Genomic DNA, 16,535 nt, shown 5'->3' on the forward strand with positions numbered 1-16,535 from the left:
TGATGCTCACAAAGACCATGGCAGAGAAGAAAGCCTCGGACAGCACTTTGGGAGGCTGAGGCGGGCTGATCACAAGGTCAGGAGATTGAGACCATCCTCGCCAACATAGTGAAATCCCGTCTCTACTAAAAATACAAAAATTAGCTGGGTGTGGTGGCATGTGCCTGTAGTCCCAGCTACTTGGGAGGCAGAGGCAGGATAACCACTTGAACCCAGGAGGCAGAGGTTGCAATGAGCTGAGATCGCACCACTGCACTCCGGCTTGGCGACAGAGCAAGACTCCGTCTAACAAAAAAAAAAAAGAAGAATGAGAGAAAGAAGGAAGGAAGGAAGGAAGGAAGGAAGGAAGGAAGGAAAGAAAGAAAGAAAGGAAGAAAGAAAGAAGGAAAGAAAGAAAAGAAAAGAAAAGAAAAGAAAGAAAGGAAAAGAAGAAAGGAAAAGGAAGAAAGAAAAAAAGAAAGGGAGAGAGAGAGAGAAAGAGAAAGACAGAAACAAAGAGAGAAAGAAAGACAGAAAGAAAGAAAGTAAGAAAGAAAGAGAGAAAGAAAGATTGAGAGAGGAAGGAAGGAAGGAAGGAAGGAAGGAACAAAGGCAGGCTCTGAAAGCACCCAGGGGGAAGCAGGTCCCTTTTCCTCCTCTCTTGCCTCCCCTAGCACCCCCTTACTGATAGAATCTACCATGGAGCAGCTGGCAAAGGCTAGAAAAAAATTGGTTTAGAGTCCCAGCCCCAGCATCACAAAGTGGAACACCGAAGGGTAGGTTAGCACCAAGAGGCAATGACCCATTAACAGGCAGCCATGGGCAAGTGCTTCACCTGCCATCACTTCAGGGCTCTAAATCTTAGTGGCCTCAGCTCTAAAACAGGGGAAGTATTGCCTGTCTGATGATCCGTGGATACGAGCTCCAGGATATGAGCGTGGTTGTCAGCTTGCTTACCACTATTCCTCCAGCTCCTGGGACAGTGCCTGACCCATAGTGGCCATTCAAGAGTAAAGGCCGTAATTGGTCATTGTTATATTATTATTAACAAATGGAGATTCTAAAGCCTAGATATTTAAACAAAATTTTGTTTTTTAGACAGGGTCCCACTCTGTTGCCCAGGCTGGAGTGCAGAGGCATAATCCTAGCACCCTGCAGCCTCTACCTCCTGGGCTTAAGTGATCCTCACACCTCAGCCTCCCAAGTACCTGGGACTACAGGTGCACCACCATGCCTGGCTGTTTTCTTTGTTTGTTTGTAGAGATGGGGTTTTGCTTTGTTTCTTAGGCTGCTCTCAAACTCCTGGCCTAAGCAACTCTCCCACCTCGGCCTCCAAAATGTTAGCATTACAGGCGTGAGCCACTGTGCCTGGCCTAAAAAATTTAATTAAAAAAAAAAAAGGTTGAGGCAGCTCTTGCCTAGATTACTAAGTCACTCAACCAGATAACTGCCAGGGCCAAGAATAGAGCCTGGGGCCTGTCTTGTACCCTGATGAGGACATTATGTACTAGTAATGGTTTTATTCTTTAGAATAATGATGAGAATGTTATAAAAACAATTTAGCCTTGGCAGAGATGAGGCATTATCTGCCTTTCTAGGAGGATGTTTGCTACTACAGGTGCTCCAGCACCTCTTATACTCAAGCCAGTGATGTGTGTTTCGGAGGTCCTCAGAGGCATCTCCTCACAAGCCTGGCTGTGTGGCCTCAGTGGTGCTGAGGAGGAGATGTGTCTTCTCTGGCTGGCCCCAGGCCTTAGATGCACTCCATCCAGCTCCGCCTCCTCTCGCCTCTGTGTCCTTCATGCATGTTCCTGCCTCCCGGGCCACTGCCAACATCAATCTGCTTAGGGACCCGAGACCAGTCTCCTCAGAGAGTGTGTAATGAGCCATCCAACAACCACTGTGGATGTGTCCAGACTGTCTCAAAGGCTGTTGGATATTTGCTGGGTCCGCTCTGGGTAACCTTGCCTTTGTGCTACCGAAGAGGAACAATGGCTGGATCATCCTGGAACCTCCTCCTGGAGAATGAGCAGCAGCATTTGTCCTGGCTGCCTTCTGGAGGAAGTGAAATCCAAGCTGCAGAGCCACTCTCACAGCTGGTGCTGGTTCAGTCTACCGCAGATGCGAAGTATCTAATGGACTGCCTCTTGTCTAGGGGCAGGTGAGAGCAGAACTCGTCTAACACACTTTGAGGACAGAGGGGCATCACCCGTCTGTGGGCATTCCCAGCCACATTTCCCTCCCTGGTTCAGGGGGAAGGTCTCCCTGCATTATCTAACTCCAACTCATCATGCTCAAAAGAAAAGTCAGGCGATCTAAAGCCCACAGATAGCCTTGCTCCCCTGTCTCTGTCAAAAACACATATGAAAGCAGAGAAAAATTCATCAGACACGGAAGCAATTGGAGAAGAGACCAGGAGAAAACAATTAGGTAATGAGGATGTGCATTAAACCATCTCTGGCACCTTCTTGACCCAGAAACATTCTTTATGTCCTGGTAATGATGGCACATTGAACATTCCAGGGAATTCCAATCCTGGAAATCAAGAAGGAGACTTACTCTAAAGGCATAGGCGAAAGTGAGTTGTCACCAGGGTGCACAGCTTCCTGGACATTCTACTGGAATAAAACTTGGCTCCCCAGGGGCCAGCAGGAGTCACCCAAGGGCAGGTCCCAAGCAGTCTCCCTTCCAGGCTCTGTAGTAAAAATGAACCACTCTTGATTCGAGGTTCAGAGTCTGAGGTCAATTTCCCCACCCCAGATCTCACTGGGGGCATTAGATCCCCTAGGGCCTTCTTCAGACCCCTAAGATTTATCACTGGCTTCAGAGAGATGAACCAATTCAATTAGCTTTTCCATTCTCCCAGCTTATTTTCCAGGAGCGGAGTGTGGCGCTCATTGTCGCAGTCGAACAAGCTAAAGAGCCTGCAAGGCCCAATACTGACTCCAGGAGATACTGGGAAGGGCTTGCTAGTGATGGAACCTGGCTATGAATCTTGCTTTCCTGATTCTAAAATTGACTCTGCCTGAAGGTGCTGCTGAGGTGCCCTGGGTACTTCTCCAGCGGTGGGTAGAGGAGTGACAGAGGGAGGAGTGCCCCTGACACACAAACAATTTCAGGAAGACAGTTTCCCTATTATCTATTATATAGATTGGGGGGTGCATTCATTTATTCATTCAATATTTATTGAACTTCCACGTATTCCAGGCACTGTCTAGGCGTCTGGGCCAGGATAGAGAGGGGAGTAAGATAGACCTTTCCTTGCTGTTACAGAACTTACGTCTTTGTTGGAGAGACAGGAAATAAACAAGTAAGTTAAAAACCCACAATTTGGGGTAGAGGCCCACAGGTCAGGTTCTGCAGGAAGTAGACTCTGACAAAGAGATTTGCAGGAGGTTTTTGGGGCGTGATCTCAGGAGCAACAAGTGTGAAGGGTGAGGGACGCAGGTCGGACAGATGGAAAAGTTGCTTTCTGTCTTCCTCCTGAGGAGCTTTGCAGCTTGGGACAACAAGCAGTGTTGTCCTAATTAAGATTGGAGGACTGGGCATTTGCACTCCCATGTGACCAGCCTTTGGATGCAAGCTGCCTCCAGGAAGTGGGTGTACATGTGGGTGGAGCAGCTTCCTCTGACAGAGGAAATGACACACCTCTGACACTTTGCAATGCTTGGAAAGTGTCTCAGGTGTGAGTTGGTGGAGCCTGCACTCCCAGCAGCTAAGGTGACAAGCGTTTTTCGGTTCTGCCAGGGGATCTGAGTGGCACACAACAACATCCACTATGAAATGTGGTGTGTGCTGGGTGGGGGCTGACTGAGGAGCTCGAGAGTAGGAGTGAGGCAGGCTATTTTAAAGAGGTGGCAAGGGAAGGCCTCTCTGAGCAAAGGCAGAGACTTTAGGCAAAGACTTGATTGGTGTGAGGAAGTGAGCCATTCAAAGTCAAGGGCACCAGAGGTTCTAAGCAGAGGAAACAGCAAATGCAAAGCAGAGAACAAGCTTGGCACATTTGAGAACCAACAATAAGTCCAGTGTGTCTGGAGCCACAGGAGTCAAGGAGACAGCAGCTGGCAGTTCAGCCAATGGGCTACCAGGAAACCAGATGGCAGAGAGCCTGGTAGACCACGGTAAGGAGTTTGCAGTTTAAGAGTGATGGGAGATGTTGGAGCACTTTGAACAGGGTGAAAGTCACCATCTGATCTACATTTTAAACGTATTATTTCACTAAATAGAGAAATAATACGTTTAAAATGGTAGTAATTGGTCATTGTTATATTGTCATTAACAAGTAGAGATTCTAAAGTCTAGACTTCTAAAAACAATTTTAAGTGAAGCAAATGTTGCTCCATCTGACAATTATGTAAGCCAGCCATACCTGTTCTTTCCCTGTAGGTAGAAGCATATGGGAAACTGCATTCCGATCCAGGGAAGTATAGGAAGCAGTAATAAAAGTGGGAAGACCTATTATAAGTTCGTTGCAGTCATCCAGGTAAGAGGGGATACTGGCTGAAAACAAGGTTTCAGCTATGTGGGCCCTAGCTTGGAAGGGATGGGATTCTACATATGTTTTGTAGCTGGAAGCAGGAGTTTGAGGCTAAGAGATGACCTGAGAATAGAATGATTTTAGGTGTTAGGCCTGAGAGATGAGGGCACATTAGGGAGGAGCATGTGCAGCGGGGGCAGGGCATCCAGAATGCTCTTTGGACATCTTATATTTTAAGTGCCTGTCAGACACCCAAGTAGAGACGCCTGATGTGAAGACATGAATATCTGCAGCTTGAGGTCCTTCGTAAGATCATTTGAAAATAAGAGTTGTGCTACTAAAATAAAATGTGCAAAAAAAAAAAAAAGAGAGAGAGAGAGAAGAAAAAAAGAAAATCGCTGCATCATGCTGTCTTGTGTATAGTTGAATTTTCACATGCTGTGGAAATTCAGCCAGAGATCCTGTGGAAAAATACTGAAAGGACCCTTGGATCACTGATTCTAAGTTTGAAAAAGGGCTGGGCTGGCTGCTTCTAAGCTTGGCTGTCTTGCTTCTATGGGGCAAGTTCGGGAATCTTTTTTTTTTTTTTTTTTTTGTAATTGAGGCAATTGACTTTGTCAGCAAGCTAAGAGTGGATTTCTCTCATAGGGGTGAATTCACATTGATCAATGTAACCAGGCTCCTAAGAGACTGATAAAGCAGAAACTGTTTACCTTGAAAAATATAGTCATCTCACAATTATGTAAGCCAGTCATGCCTGTTCGTTCCCTGTAGATCAAAGCATATGGGAAACTGCATTCCAATCCAGGGATTTCCCAGTGAGTTAGAATTAGACAAAGGGGTTGAACCGAATAGCTCAAACATGTTAAGTTATCAACATACTAAAATCCTGAGCTAATTGGTAAGGAGCCTGCTCCTGGAGCCTCCTGTCTGCTCCTACTCACTGCCCTTCTCATATCAGGGACCTCACAGAGCTCCCAGCCACTAGAAGGTAAATGCAGGTAGAATGGGGACCCTAGGTCCCTGCTCCAGCTGTAGCTGAAGATCTTGCTGTTTGGGTGGTGCCTGTGCTGTATGGATTGTTAAAGATGTTGACTTTCATCCCTGCTTTAGGGCACCCAGTCATGATAGCTGGATGCCCCTCACCTTCTCCATAACAGAGATGCAGCCAGGAGAGGCCCAGAGCCTACTAATGTGCGGACACCCATCACCCCAGCCTTGTCTCAGTCAGAGCTTGAATCATCCCGACGATCCTCCTCGGTCTCATTTCTCTCTGTGTCTGTGACGCTGCATCCATTCTGACAGGCCCTTCTGTCCCTCAGAATGTTCCTGCTGTCAGTCCAGGCTGCTCTGGTCTGAAATTCATCCTGTCCATATAAGGAGACTTTAAATAGATCTTCTTTGATCTGGTGCTGGCTGGTTTTATAATTTTTCTCTCAGATGGAAATTGTATTTCCCATTTCCAAGTTCTTGGGGGATGCCTCACAGTCAAGCCCCATAGACTGTCTACCCAGAGGAGTTTAATTTTCATGGAATCCAATAGGGCCAGTGAGGAAAGAGACCTTAATAATCATTTAATTCAACCCTCTTGTTTTATAGACAAGGTGACTGAGAACCAGAGAAGGAATGGCAGGTTGAATTATTATTTATAATGAATATAATATTTACAACTGGTACAGATCACAAAGAAGACATTAATAAACTGATCTATACCAGGAAGCTGTTCCCTGGTTTTTTATAGCACTCTAAGCCTGGTGACCTTCCTGAGCAAACAGAGTCCCTTGCCTCACTGAGGAGAACTCCAGGGAACACCAAAGGCCAAGGGAGACACCGCAGGCAATAAAACATCCCTAGCAAAGCATCTCAACACCCCCAGACAAAGAAAGGCACAGAACTCAAGAAAGCAGTGACAGGAGAGCTTTAGTAAATGTTTAATGAAGACGGAGCATAGAGGTCGTCCAATGCAGCCCCTCTTTTTCAAGCAAGGAAATGTTATGCGATAGATATCTGTCATTGTTTCAGCCTCCCAACATTCATTTCCTCTTTTGACAGCTGCTGATTTTCTCTCGAGGGCTCACCCCCCTGGACTCTGGGTGGTCCTGGGAGGATGTGAACCCTGTACCCTGACTCCCATCACTGAGGCCAAGAGTCTGGACCCCTCCTCCTCCTCCTGCCCCAGCACAGCAGGGAACCCGGCAGGACAGCTGTCCTCTAGGACTCTTGAGTTCACTCACTTCAGCCACCAAGCGCTGACTGTGTTTCCACCAAAGGGCAGTTCCTGCGGCTTCTACTCCCCCTCTCCAAGGTGCCAGGGTTACTGCCTGTCCTCCAGCCTTCCATGGCATCACTGTCTCTCCAGATCATCTCATTCAATTCTCTCATTGCTCCAGTGAGCCTGGATGGTTTTCTGTTGCCGACAACAAAAAACCCCAACTGATACCATTCCCCTTCCCCAAGGTCACTTACCCAGGGCAAGGTCCAGCCTGAGATTTGAGTTCCTACTGAGTCCCCTACAGGGGCACAGCTATGAGCTGAATTGTGCCTCTCTCCAGGTTCATTCCTAACCCCTGAGACCTCAGAATGGGACAGTATTTGGACACACGGTCTTTCTTGAGCTAATACAGGTTAAATAGTTTACTGAGGGGATCCTCATCCAATACAACTGGTGTCCTTATAAGAGGAAATTGGGACACACATTAGTGTGCAGTGGGAAGTCCATGTGAGGACGGACAAAGAAGCTTGGCCATCCACAAGCCCAGGAGAGAGACTCAGAACAAATCAATCTGCGGACACCTTGATCTTGGGCTTCTAGCCTCCAGAACTGTGAGAAAATACATTTCTGTTGGGTAAGCGGCCCAGCCTGTGGTCCTTTGTCACGGCAGCCCTGGCAGACGAATGCAGGCCGCACTTCCCACCGCCATGGTGCCACTGTCTGTGGACAGCATGCCAGCCTCATCGCACGAGTTATCCCTGAAGATGCTCAAATTAGCAGGCTGTTCTTAGAACCAAATTTCCTGGACAGGCTTCAGAAAACATTCTCCCTGGTGATACAGACATCTGAAAACACACACACACACACACACACCCAAGAAAACAAAAAACAAACAAAAATGCCAAAAACAAATAAAAAACCCATGACCAAAAAATGGACCTTTGTCCCCTTTCATTTCTTTAGTAATGGACAGCGCCCAGGAGAGCAGGATAGACGGCTCCTTGGAGAAAGCAGAATCTTCTTAATAAACAAATGAGAATTTAGAGCCCAAGCTGACAAGGAATTTAATCTTGTTCTCCCAGCATCCGCATGGAGGAGGGAAGCAAGCAGAGGCAAAGACAGACATCGCGGTTCCCCTTGATTCTAATATTGGGTTGGACGGGGGAGGGCGAAGATCTGCACGCCAAGCTCCCTTTCTCCACCCACACCCCTCCTGGCATACACTCTCAGCAAAGCCTCACCGGGTTCCCCCTGCAAGTAATTGCAGAGGTCTCTTGGGGACAATAACCCTGATGTTACCTCTTGGAGGGTCAGAGGGAAGTGCTTAGGACTGAGAGAATGCAAGAGGGTGGAGGCCAAAGGGCTGAATATTAATGGGGGCTATCACCACCAGCTCTTAAGGTAATGGAAAAGCCCTCTGCAGAGCCAGGCTGGGGCCGGCCTCACACGGAAATGCAATCTTCTGCAACACAGAGTAGGCAGTGACAAGCAGTTTATCTTCCATTACTCCAAAACCTTAAATCATTATCAACCCGAAGCCAGCAAAAGAAACCAAACCACTGACTCCAATGTCTCCTTATCTTCCCAGCAAATATAAATGTGTATGACATTGAGGCACCTGTATTAGGGGTTGAACTGTATCCCTCAACCCCCCACCCCCAGAAAGAAAGCTATGTTGGAGTTCTAACCCCCCGTACCTCAGAATATGACCTTATTTAGAGATAGGATCTTAATAGAGGTAATCACGTTAAAATAAGGTCCTTAGGGTGGGCCCTAATCGAATGTGACTGGTGTCCTTATAAGAAGGAGAACTTGGGCTGAGTGCGGTGGCTCACGCCTATAATCCCAGCACTTTGGGAGGCCAAGGCGGGATGGTCACTTGAGGCCAGGAGTTCGAGACCAGCCTGGGCAACATGGTGAAACCCCATCTCTACTAAAAATACAAATTAGCTGGGCATGGTGGTGGGTACCTGTAATCCCCGCTACTCAGGAGGCTGAAGTGGGGGAATGGCTTGAACCCAGGAGGTGGAGGCTGCAGTGAGCCAAGATCATGCCACTGCACTCCAGCCTGGGCAACTGAGTGAAACTCTGTCTCAAAAAAAAAAAAAAAAAGGAAGGAGAACTTGAACACAGAGACACATACAGGGAGAGCACTGTGTGAAGATGCTTCTGTAAGTTAAGGGACACCAAAAATTGCCAGTGAACCTCCTGACACTGAGGGAAGGCCTGAAAAAGATGTCCCCTCACAGGCCTTGGAAGGCACCAACTCTGCCCATGCCTTGACCTCAGACTTCTCACTTCCAGAACTGGGAAACCATAAACTTCTGTTGTTTAAACAATCTACTTTGATGTACTTTGTTATGTTGGTCTGTGTTGGAAAATATACACAGAAAGCTCTAATCCACAGGGGAAAGGAAAAGTGGTCCCATCTCATCATAAAATAGGAATTTTTCTGAGGCCACGGGAATGGGTGGAGAAACGGGAGGCTGAGTCATTCCTTCTGCCAAGGGTTTGCCTGGATAACAATGACTCAATCAAATGGAAGTTCCAAATAAAAGACATTTTTCAAAGGAGTGTTTCCTCTTTTAAACAGTGCTGACTCAGCCCCAGCCAGCTGAATCAGCGTTTTTAGTGGTGGCAGGAAGTAAGGAGTGATCTTCCTAAAGTGACGATGTGTTTCCTAGCAGGGTTGCCAGATTTAGCAAATAAAAATACACAGGATACCCAGTTTCATCTGAATTTCAGATGAATGACGAACAATGTTTCAGTCTATGTCTCAAATACTGCATGGGATAAAACATTCCTATATTTTGCCTGGCAGCCCTCCCCTGATCTCCCCATCCATCCTCCATGTCCATTCTCTCCCTCATCTCTAGTAGAGGAGGGAGGCCCTCAGGCACATCGAGGCACCAAAGTTATGGTACAGTGCAAGGTAAACTCCCAGCAAGAGGTAAGGTGTGTCTCATGATGCACCCTTTGGAGGAAAGACCTCTGCCTCCTACTGTGGGGAATGATAAGGTTCTCCTGCTCTGAGGATCCACCAGAGAGCAGCCTTCATGGCTTTGACCATATGGGGATCCAGCCTGGGGTTGAGCAGACGACCAGGAAAAAATAAGAGAGAAAAACGCCAGAAGGAAAGGAGGATCCCGGGCACCCATCCAAAGCTGACTCCGTGGGACTACAAGGTCACTGTAAGAGAGTGTCTGAACCATGCTCTGGCCTCAAATGTTCGTGTGATTAGATATTCAAGTTTGTGGCCTTTCTGGTGAGAGCTGCATCTGCCCATTGCATGGGATGACCAAATGTGCATGGACTTTGTTCCTGGGCATGAAGCTGGGCAACATGCCAACAGAGCCCGCACCCTGCCTCTGCCCTGCACACACATGGTGGTGGTCAGTGAGTGTTTGTCAAGTGATGAATAAATGAATACTCACCACAAAAGAGAGTCCAGCCAATTTCTCCTCCTTGGAAATATAAAGCCAGAAGGTCAAACCCATGGTCTCTCTTCTCCCAGGCATATTAAAACTGTCAGCCAACTGAGTGCCAAGACCCTGGCTTAGAGACGTTGAGGATACACACCCTAGCAGGGACATGGAGCTACAGGTATGCATGAGCAGGGCCTGGAGGAGTCCAGTGGGAAGCTGGCCTTGTTTGCGGCCAAATAAGGATTGCATGGACATCTCAATGTTTATGTAGCTGGAGGAGAGTCTGATGTGCATGCCCAAATGTCCAAGACTTTTCTCATAGACCAGGAAGAGTAAATTGGTGGGCCTCCCAAGGAAAACAGTGGTGGGCCAGGGAAATGCCAGGAGGTGTGAAATGCAAACAAACTGCCTGGGTGACAATTACCCTTTTAATTTTTCAAAGGCTGAACTTGGAGCAATTGATGTGGTGCCTGTTACACATGACAGAGAATGTTACCGTGCTTCAGATGCAGTGCCTGTGTAAAGGGCAGTAATCTGGACAAAAGGAAGGGGCAGGGAGATGGAAGAAGGGAGGTCTGGAAGGAGAGCAGGAAGGTATGAAGTAAGGAAGGAGGGAAAGGAGGAGATGGAGAATTTGAATGGAAATTTAGTCTGGCCAATACCCAAATCTGGTTTCTTCCTCTCAGCGTGAAGTGCCCTGATTGGATAAGGAATTCACTGCAAGCCTTTTCAGACTGGCTGGTTTCTTTTTAGAGAACAAGGCTTCATTTGATTAGTTGCCCATTAAATCATAGGAGGAGGGCTGGGCTGGGTAAGGGAATAGGACAGTTAGAAGCTGGTAAAGCAAGAATAGCTTCCCTTCTGAGGCTCACAATGCTCTCTGAACTTGCTGTTCTCCTGTCAACGAATCCCAGTCCAGTGAAAATAGTTTTAATTACTGAAATCCACATTGCCTGATGGATGGATGGACTCGACAAAGATTCATGGAGAGCCCATTAGGTGTGAGTGGGCCCCAAGTGAGGCCCTGGAGACATAAAGGCAAATGAAGCGCAGACCCTGTACCCCAGGCCCTCCCAGCACAAACGGGCACACTTGGCATATTTTAATAAGACAACATGTGCAGCTGTGCACAGCAACTGCTCTTTGGGCACATGAAGGGGCACCTGACCCAGACTGGAGATGGGTGGGAAGATGAGATGAGGGGCGGAGATGAGATGGGAGGGGAGATGAGATGGAATGTATCAGGTTATACAACGCAAAGATGTTTAAATAAATATCACGGAACCACACACCTTCACCTCTTTAGTTTATGGCATAGATACCAGCATTGCAGGCAGCATCTTGCCCTTTTCCAGCTAAGTTTGCCATTTGTTTTTCTATTCTGCTCATGCCAGTGTTTATAAGGTAATAATGGGTATGAGCTTTCTATTCATAGAACATGTGGGTACTCCCATGGTGTATGTTACGTACACCACGAAATTCCTGCACACTGTATATATACTTGAATGTGTTAATTAAAACTAGGAGGTTCCTGACATATCCTTACCTTCCATTTCCTTATACCTAACCTTGATGAATGAGGTGGAATTGTACTTCCTTTTTGTCTTCAATAAAAAAAACCCTAATAGGTCTCATGAAATTCCATTCATTCATGCAATAAATATTCATTGAGTGCTTCTGTGTTCTAGACACTGTATTGGGGCTCGGTATACAAGGAAGCAAAAGGTAGATATGAACCTCCTTCCTGGAGTTCAGAGTGGCTCTCAGATGCTTCTGGGCATCACAATTCCCTAGGGAACTTGTTTAAAAATGCAGATGTCCCAGGCTTGGTCTGGAGGAAAATGTGATTCCATGTCTCTAACCAGGAGACTGACCCATGCACACTGCAGAACTGTTAGGATGAGGAGCCCCTGGCATCCAGAAAGGGTGGGGTGGAGATCCAGAGGTTGATTCCAGACAGCCCGGGGCTGCAGGAACATGGGGATGGGGTGAGGGAGGGATGCCATGAACGTATCCCTAGAGCCATCCCCATGCTCCATGGGTATATTGTCCCAACATAAAGCCCAGAAATGGAAAAGAGCATGAGAGAAAGGGTGGTCCCCAGTGTGAAAACGCCTGAGTACTTTTGCCTGATTATTATTCCATTTGGTCTAATTGCATTTTAAAATGCTCAGTGGGGAGAAAAAATGCCAAGTCTTTTAATAAATTAAGAGCAGGTCTGCTTTTTAACCTGCAGCAGGTTTTTAAAAAGTCCTGCTGAGGGCACACTGCTTAGAGAGACATGGTCTTTGCAGGTGAAGGTAATTAGTGAACACCTTCACCTCTGGAGTCGGGAGGGAGTGCGAGGGGCTTTGGTTACTGCAGTAATCTCTTCCTGATTGGGAGGAAACTGTTATTTACAAAGGATGCCTGAAGATTCAAATGTGGTTTTCTCTTTCCCGAATCAGGAGGCAGAGTGTGTGCAGGAACTCAAAGCCCATGGAACAGCAGGATGCAGCTTTTCTTGGCTCCGTTACTGAGAGATCCTGTCTGATGTTTCCTCTCTGACAGGCCGTGACTGGGGACATTTGGATGGCCAGCAGAGCTGGATTTAGAGGCAGAAGAGCTGGGCAGCTGTCCCAGTTACTCATCTATGAGGGGAGCTGAAAGATCATGAGAATAAATCAGAAAGATGGTGCCAGTTAACCCCGCTTTCCACACAAGACTCTTGATATAATTGGTGAAGTGGAAACTCCAGCCAAAGTACACTCCATCCTCAAGCAAAACATAAAACACACTCCTGATGGATACAGAAAGTTCTGGTGGCCTTAGAGCCTGATTTGGTGCCAACCTGCCTGCGTTCAAATCCAGGTTCCACTACTCACTGGATGTGTGACCTTAGACAACTTCTTTCACCTCCTAGTGCTCTGTTCCCTTGGCTATAAAATAAAAATTATAAGAGTGCCAGTTTTGAACACTAAATGGGCATAAAGGAAACACTTAGACCCCAGACGGGCATGTAGCAGGAACTTTATAATGGTTAGCTACTCATTACCATCTTTGTGATGAGCTCAAGCAAGTTGCCTAATGCCACTGGAGGCTGCACCCCTACCTGAGACAGCCACCTGAACATTTCCTTAACGTGCAGCCTCTGAGAGCTGAAACTCTGAAAGGAAGTCCTGCATAATGAGCATTTATTATGTTCAAGTAATTAATTTTCTCTCTTAAAAATGTAACCCCCTTAGTACACCTCAAAAGAAATCATCTGACTTAGAAAATACAAAAGACATCTGAACAACATCAAACATTACAGAAAAGTTTTGCCCACGTGAAAGTCCCACTCCACCCCACCGCACCCCAAGAAAAGCAAAGCAAACATAAAACCAACTTTTGAACATTTTGAACAAGTGTTTGTAACCATATCGATATATGCATTACCTCTGTCCTGAGTGGGTAAGTAGCCAACTCTTTCCATTTAGGAGTGTTAGAAAAACTGTGAAGGAAAGACCGTTTCAAGTAAGCCAAAACGTTATGCCGTGTTTGATGTTTGTAATAAATCCCTTACTTTCAGCAGAGAGGCACATGACTTCTACTAATGGAAAACCAGATTTTCCTCTATCCCCACTAAATGAGTGTGGAACCATATTTAAGGATACACTTTGGAGGGTGCCAAAGCATTGGCTTAATCTGTCAGCTTGATCCTAGGTTCCCCTGTCCCCTGTCCCCACCCCACCCTGAGCACAACTGGACTCAGAGTCAAAGCCAGAGCTGGGACAAGTGCAGCTTGTGAAGGATTCCAGGCCCAGCAAGCGGTTATATTAAGCACCACTGAGGCTTAAGAAGCATTAGATAAGATGTGGCTGGTAAGAGTCAAGGCCTGGTTACAATTCCTCCTAAGATGTTTATATTTCCTTCTAAATTATGTAATTACATGAAATTTGCCAAATAATCAATTTACTTAAAATTGATTAATTGCAGTGCTACTTGTGGGTGACTGGTATGCCAGGATACTGTTACTGTGTAGCTAACTCTTCTATTTTATTTCAGTTTTGTTGTAAAGTATACATTTATTTAATTTTTTTTCACTTTAAAGGTGATACATAATAATTTTCAAGGATGTGGAAATCACAGAATTGTATAAAGTAGACAAGAAAAATCACCTACAATCTCACAGCCCAGAGGCAATGACAGCTAATCATTCAGTCTATTTCCTTCCAGTCTTTTCTTTTTTCTCCTATGTGTAGATAGATGCATATATATATTTTTTCTTTCTAAATATATTTATTTATTATAGAGCTGGGATTGTACTGTTTTCTAACCCAATTTGACCTCTCTCTCTCTCTATATATATATATATACATATAAATAAATATATATATAAATATATATAAATAAATATATATATAAATATATATATAATATATAAATATATATATAAATAAATATATATATAAATATATATAAATATATATAAATATATATAATATATAAATATATATATAAATAAATATATATATAAATATATATAAATATATATAAATATATATATAAATAAATATATATATAAATATATATAAATATATATATAAATAAATATATATATAAATATATATAAATAAATATATATATATAAATATATATATAAATAAATATATATATATAAATATATATATAAATAAATATATATATAAATATATATATATATATTTTTATATATATATATATATTTTTTTTTTTTTTTTGCATTGCATCAGTTAGGGTCCTAGCAGGATACAAGTTTCCCTTTAATCTCCTGAGGCTAGATTAGACGACCAAAAGGAATGCTGAAATAAACCTGGAGTAGGCACACTATGAAGCTGTTCCCACCCTAATCCTGAAGAGTCAAGGGGAGGGAGAAGTTACTGGGACAGGAAGGAAGTAGGTAGGGAGGATGAGTGGAGGAGGGTGCTACCTGGCCAAATCGATGGCCTTGAGTAGAGAAGCCCAGGAATGAAACCCTGGGGTCTCAGATGGGGGTTGTATTTATGGGAAGAGGGTTTCACAGGCCCCCACCCCCAGCTCTGGATTTACCCTCCTCCTCCTCCACCCCATTATTCTCCTCTCCTCCTACTTCCCCACTGTCTTCTCCTGCTCCTCCTCCTCCTCCTCTTCCTCTTCTGACTTTGAGGCCTCCTCCTCCCATCCTGGTGCCCCGCCTTGTCCTGGCTTCTCATTTTTGCCCCAGTTCTGCCCTGACCTTCTCTGTCTGAAATAATAATTCCCCAAAGTAGCCCCATGAAGAACCTTATATGACCATCCTGCCCTCCAGCTCCTCAGGGTGCACTTCCCATTGGACACACCCAGAAGGAGTTCAGAGGGCAGGGAGCCTGGGTGGCGCAGGATGAATCTGGAAGGCAAAAGGAGAACGTCCATCATGCACATCATCCAATATGCTTTAAGTACACCTTTAAAAAAGGCACCGCCTAGTATTCCTTTATAGAAAAGTACCATAAATTATTTAACCCAGTCCTTGTGGAGTGTTTCTCATTTTTTTACCATTATAACTAGCGCTGCAATAAATATTCTTATACATACATTTTTGGCTGCATCTCTGATTATTTTCTCAGGATAAATTCTTAGGGGTGCCATTACTGGGTCAGGGGAATCTACATTTTTTAAGGCTTTTCTTATATATCACCAAATAGTTCTCCAGAATGTTATTATACCAATTTAAATGCCTGAAAGTAATATATATAGAGTCACCAATCATGTTCACCCAGAGAACTGGTGATGGCTGCCTGCAGTAAAGGAGAAGATGCTAGGGGAAGAAGCAGCCTGTCCTGGAGACCGTGGTGTGAAAGGTCACACCTCCCAGCTGTGAAAACTGACCTGTTTTAAGACTGAAAGAAGCTTCACAGTCAGTTCACTCCAAGGTCAGTGGAAGTGTCTGACAAAGGGAAATGAGGTGATGGCTGCTGGGTGGGAGTTTTGTTTCATTTGACCTCACTTACCTAAGGCCAAATGTAACGTAAACAACAGTGGATGGTCATATGAGGTTCTTCATGGGGCTACTTTGGGGAATTATTCCAGCAAGAGAAGGTCAGGGCAGGACTGGGGCACAAATGAGAAGCCAGGACAAGTTGGGTCACCAGGATGAGAGAAAGATGCCTCGAAGTCAGAAGAGGAAGAGGAGGAGGAGGAGGAGGCAGAGGAGAAGGGGAAGAGAGTGGGGAAGGAGGAGGAGAGGAGAGTGATGGAGGGATAAGGAGGAGGGTAAATCCAGAGCTGGGGTTGGAGGCCCATGGAACCCCCTTCCCATAAACACAGCCCCCATCTGAGACCCTAGTCTCCAACTTCCACAGGCAGGGATGAGGGGAGGCGACAGTGGGGCAGGGGACAGGGATTCCCCATTGAGGAAGCTCCATACTGGATACTATTTCCTCTCCTTCAGGGGAATAAACAAGTGCCTAAGGGGCCAGAGACC

At 45.5% G+C, this 16,535-nt stretch overlaps 1 long non-coding RNA gene across 2 annotated transcripts, besides 6 other annotated features; it reads left to right on the top strand.

Annotated features, from left to right (window-relative positions):
- Positions 3,292 to 3,792: an enhancer, noted in NCBI's record as "H3K27ac hESC enhancer chr4:153021562-153022062 (GRCh37/hg19 assembly coordinates)". NCBI's record gives its function as "activates a minimal SCP1, AML or CMV promoter by ChIP-STARR-seq in primed H9 embryonic stem cells {active_cell/tissue: H9 hESC(primed)}" and the evidence as "EXISTENCE:reporter gene assay evidence [ECO:0000049][PMID:30033119]".
- Positions 3,399 to 3,693: an enhancer, noted in NCBI's record as "tiled region #7108; HepG2 Activating non-DNase unmatched - State 24:Quies, and K562 Activating non-DNase unmatched - State 21:Repr". NCBI's record gives its function as "activates a minimal TATA promoter and a strong SV40 promoter by Sharpr-MPRA in HepG2 and K562 cells {active_cell/tissue: HepG2 | K562}" and the evidence as "EXISTENCE:reporter gene assay evidence [ECO:0000049][PMID:27701403]".
- On the top strand, positions 3,635 to 7,602 carry LINC02273 (long intergenic non-protein coding RNA 2273). Of its 2 annotated transcripts, none has more exons than NR_121628.1 (3): positions 3,635 to 3,699; positions 4,366 to 4,462; positions 6,509 to 7,602. It is a non-coding gene; the product is annotated as a long intergenic non-protein coding RNA 2273 (long non-coding RNA). The 2 variants fall into 2 exon arrangements; NR_121627.1 differs by lacking the exon at positions 3,635 to 3,699 and adding an exon at positions 3,700 to 4,100.
- Positions 3,793 to 4,293: an enhancer, noted in NCBI's record as "H3K27ac hESC enhancer chr4:153022063-153022563 (GRCh37/hg19 assembly coordinates)". NCBI's record gives its function as "activates a minimal SCP1, AML or CMV promoter by ChIP-STARR-seq in primed H9 embryonic stem cells {active_cell/tissue: H9 hESC(primed)}" and the evidence as "EXISTENCE:reporter gene assay evidence [ECO:0000049][PMID:30033119]".
- Positions 4,588 to 5,787: an enhancer, noted in NCBI's record as "P300/CBP strongly-dependent group 1 enhancer chr4:153022858-153024057 (GRCh37/hg19 assembly coordinates)". NCBI's record gives its function as "activates an origin of replication core promoter dependent on BRD2, BRD4, P300/CBP, MED14 and CDK7 cofactors, with strong dependence on P300/CBP, by STARR-seq in HCT116 cells {active_cell/tissue: HCT116}" and the evidence as "EXISTENCE:reporter gene assay evidence [ECO:0000049][PMID:35650434]".
- Positions 8,895 to 10,094: an enhancer, noted in NCBI's record as "P300/CBP strongly-dependent group 1 enhancer chr4:153027165-153028364 (GRCh37/hg19 assembly coordinates)". NCBI's record gives its function as "activates an origin of replication core promoter dependent on BRD2, BRD4, P300/CBP, MED14 and CDK7 cofactors, with strong dependence on P300/CBP, by STARR-seq in HCT116 cells {active_cell/tissue: HCT116}" and the evidence as "EXISTENCE:reporter gene assay evidence [ECO:0000049][PMID:35650434]".
- Positions 15,918 to 16,057: a silencer, noted in NCBI's record as "silent region_15750". NCBI's record gives its function as "represses an Ori minimal core promoter by ATAC-STARR-seq in GM12878 lymphoblastoid cells {active_cell/tissue: GM12878}" and the evidence as "EXISTENCE:reporter gene assay evidence [ECO:0000049][PMID:35858748]".

The sequence above is a fragment of the Homo sapiens genome, chromosome 4 (genome assembly GCF_000001405.40).
Source record: "Homo sapiens chromosome 4, GRCh38.p14 Primary Assembly".
NCBI classification, from domain to species: Eukaryota; Metazoa; Chordata; class Mammalia; order Primates; family Hominidae; genus Homo; species Homo sapiens.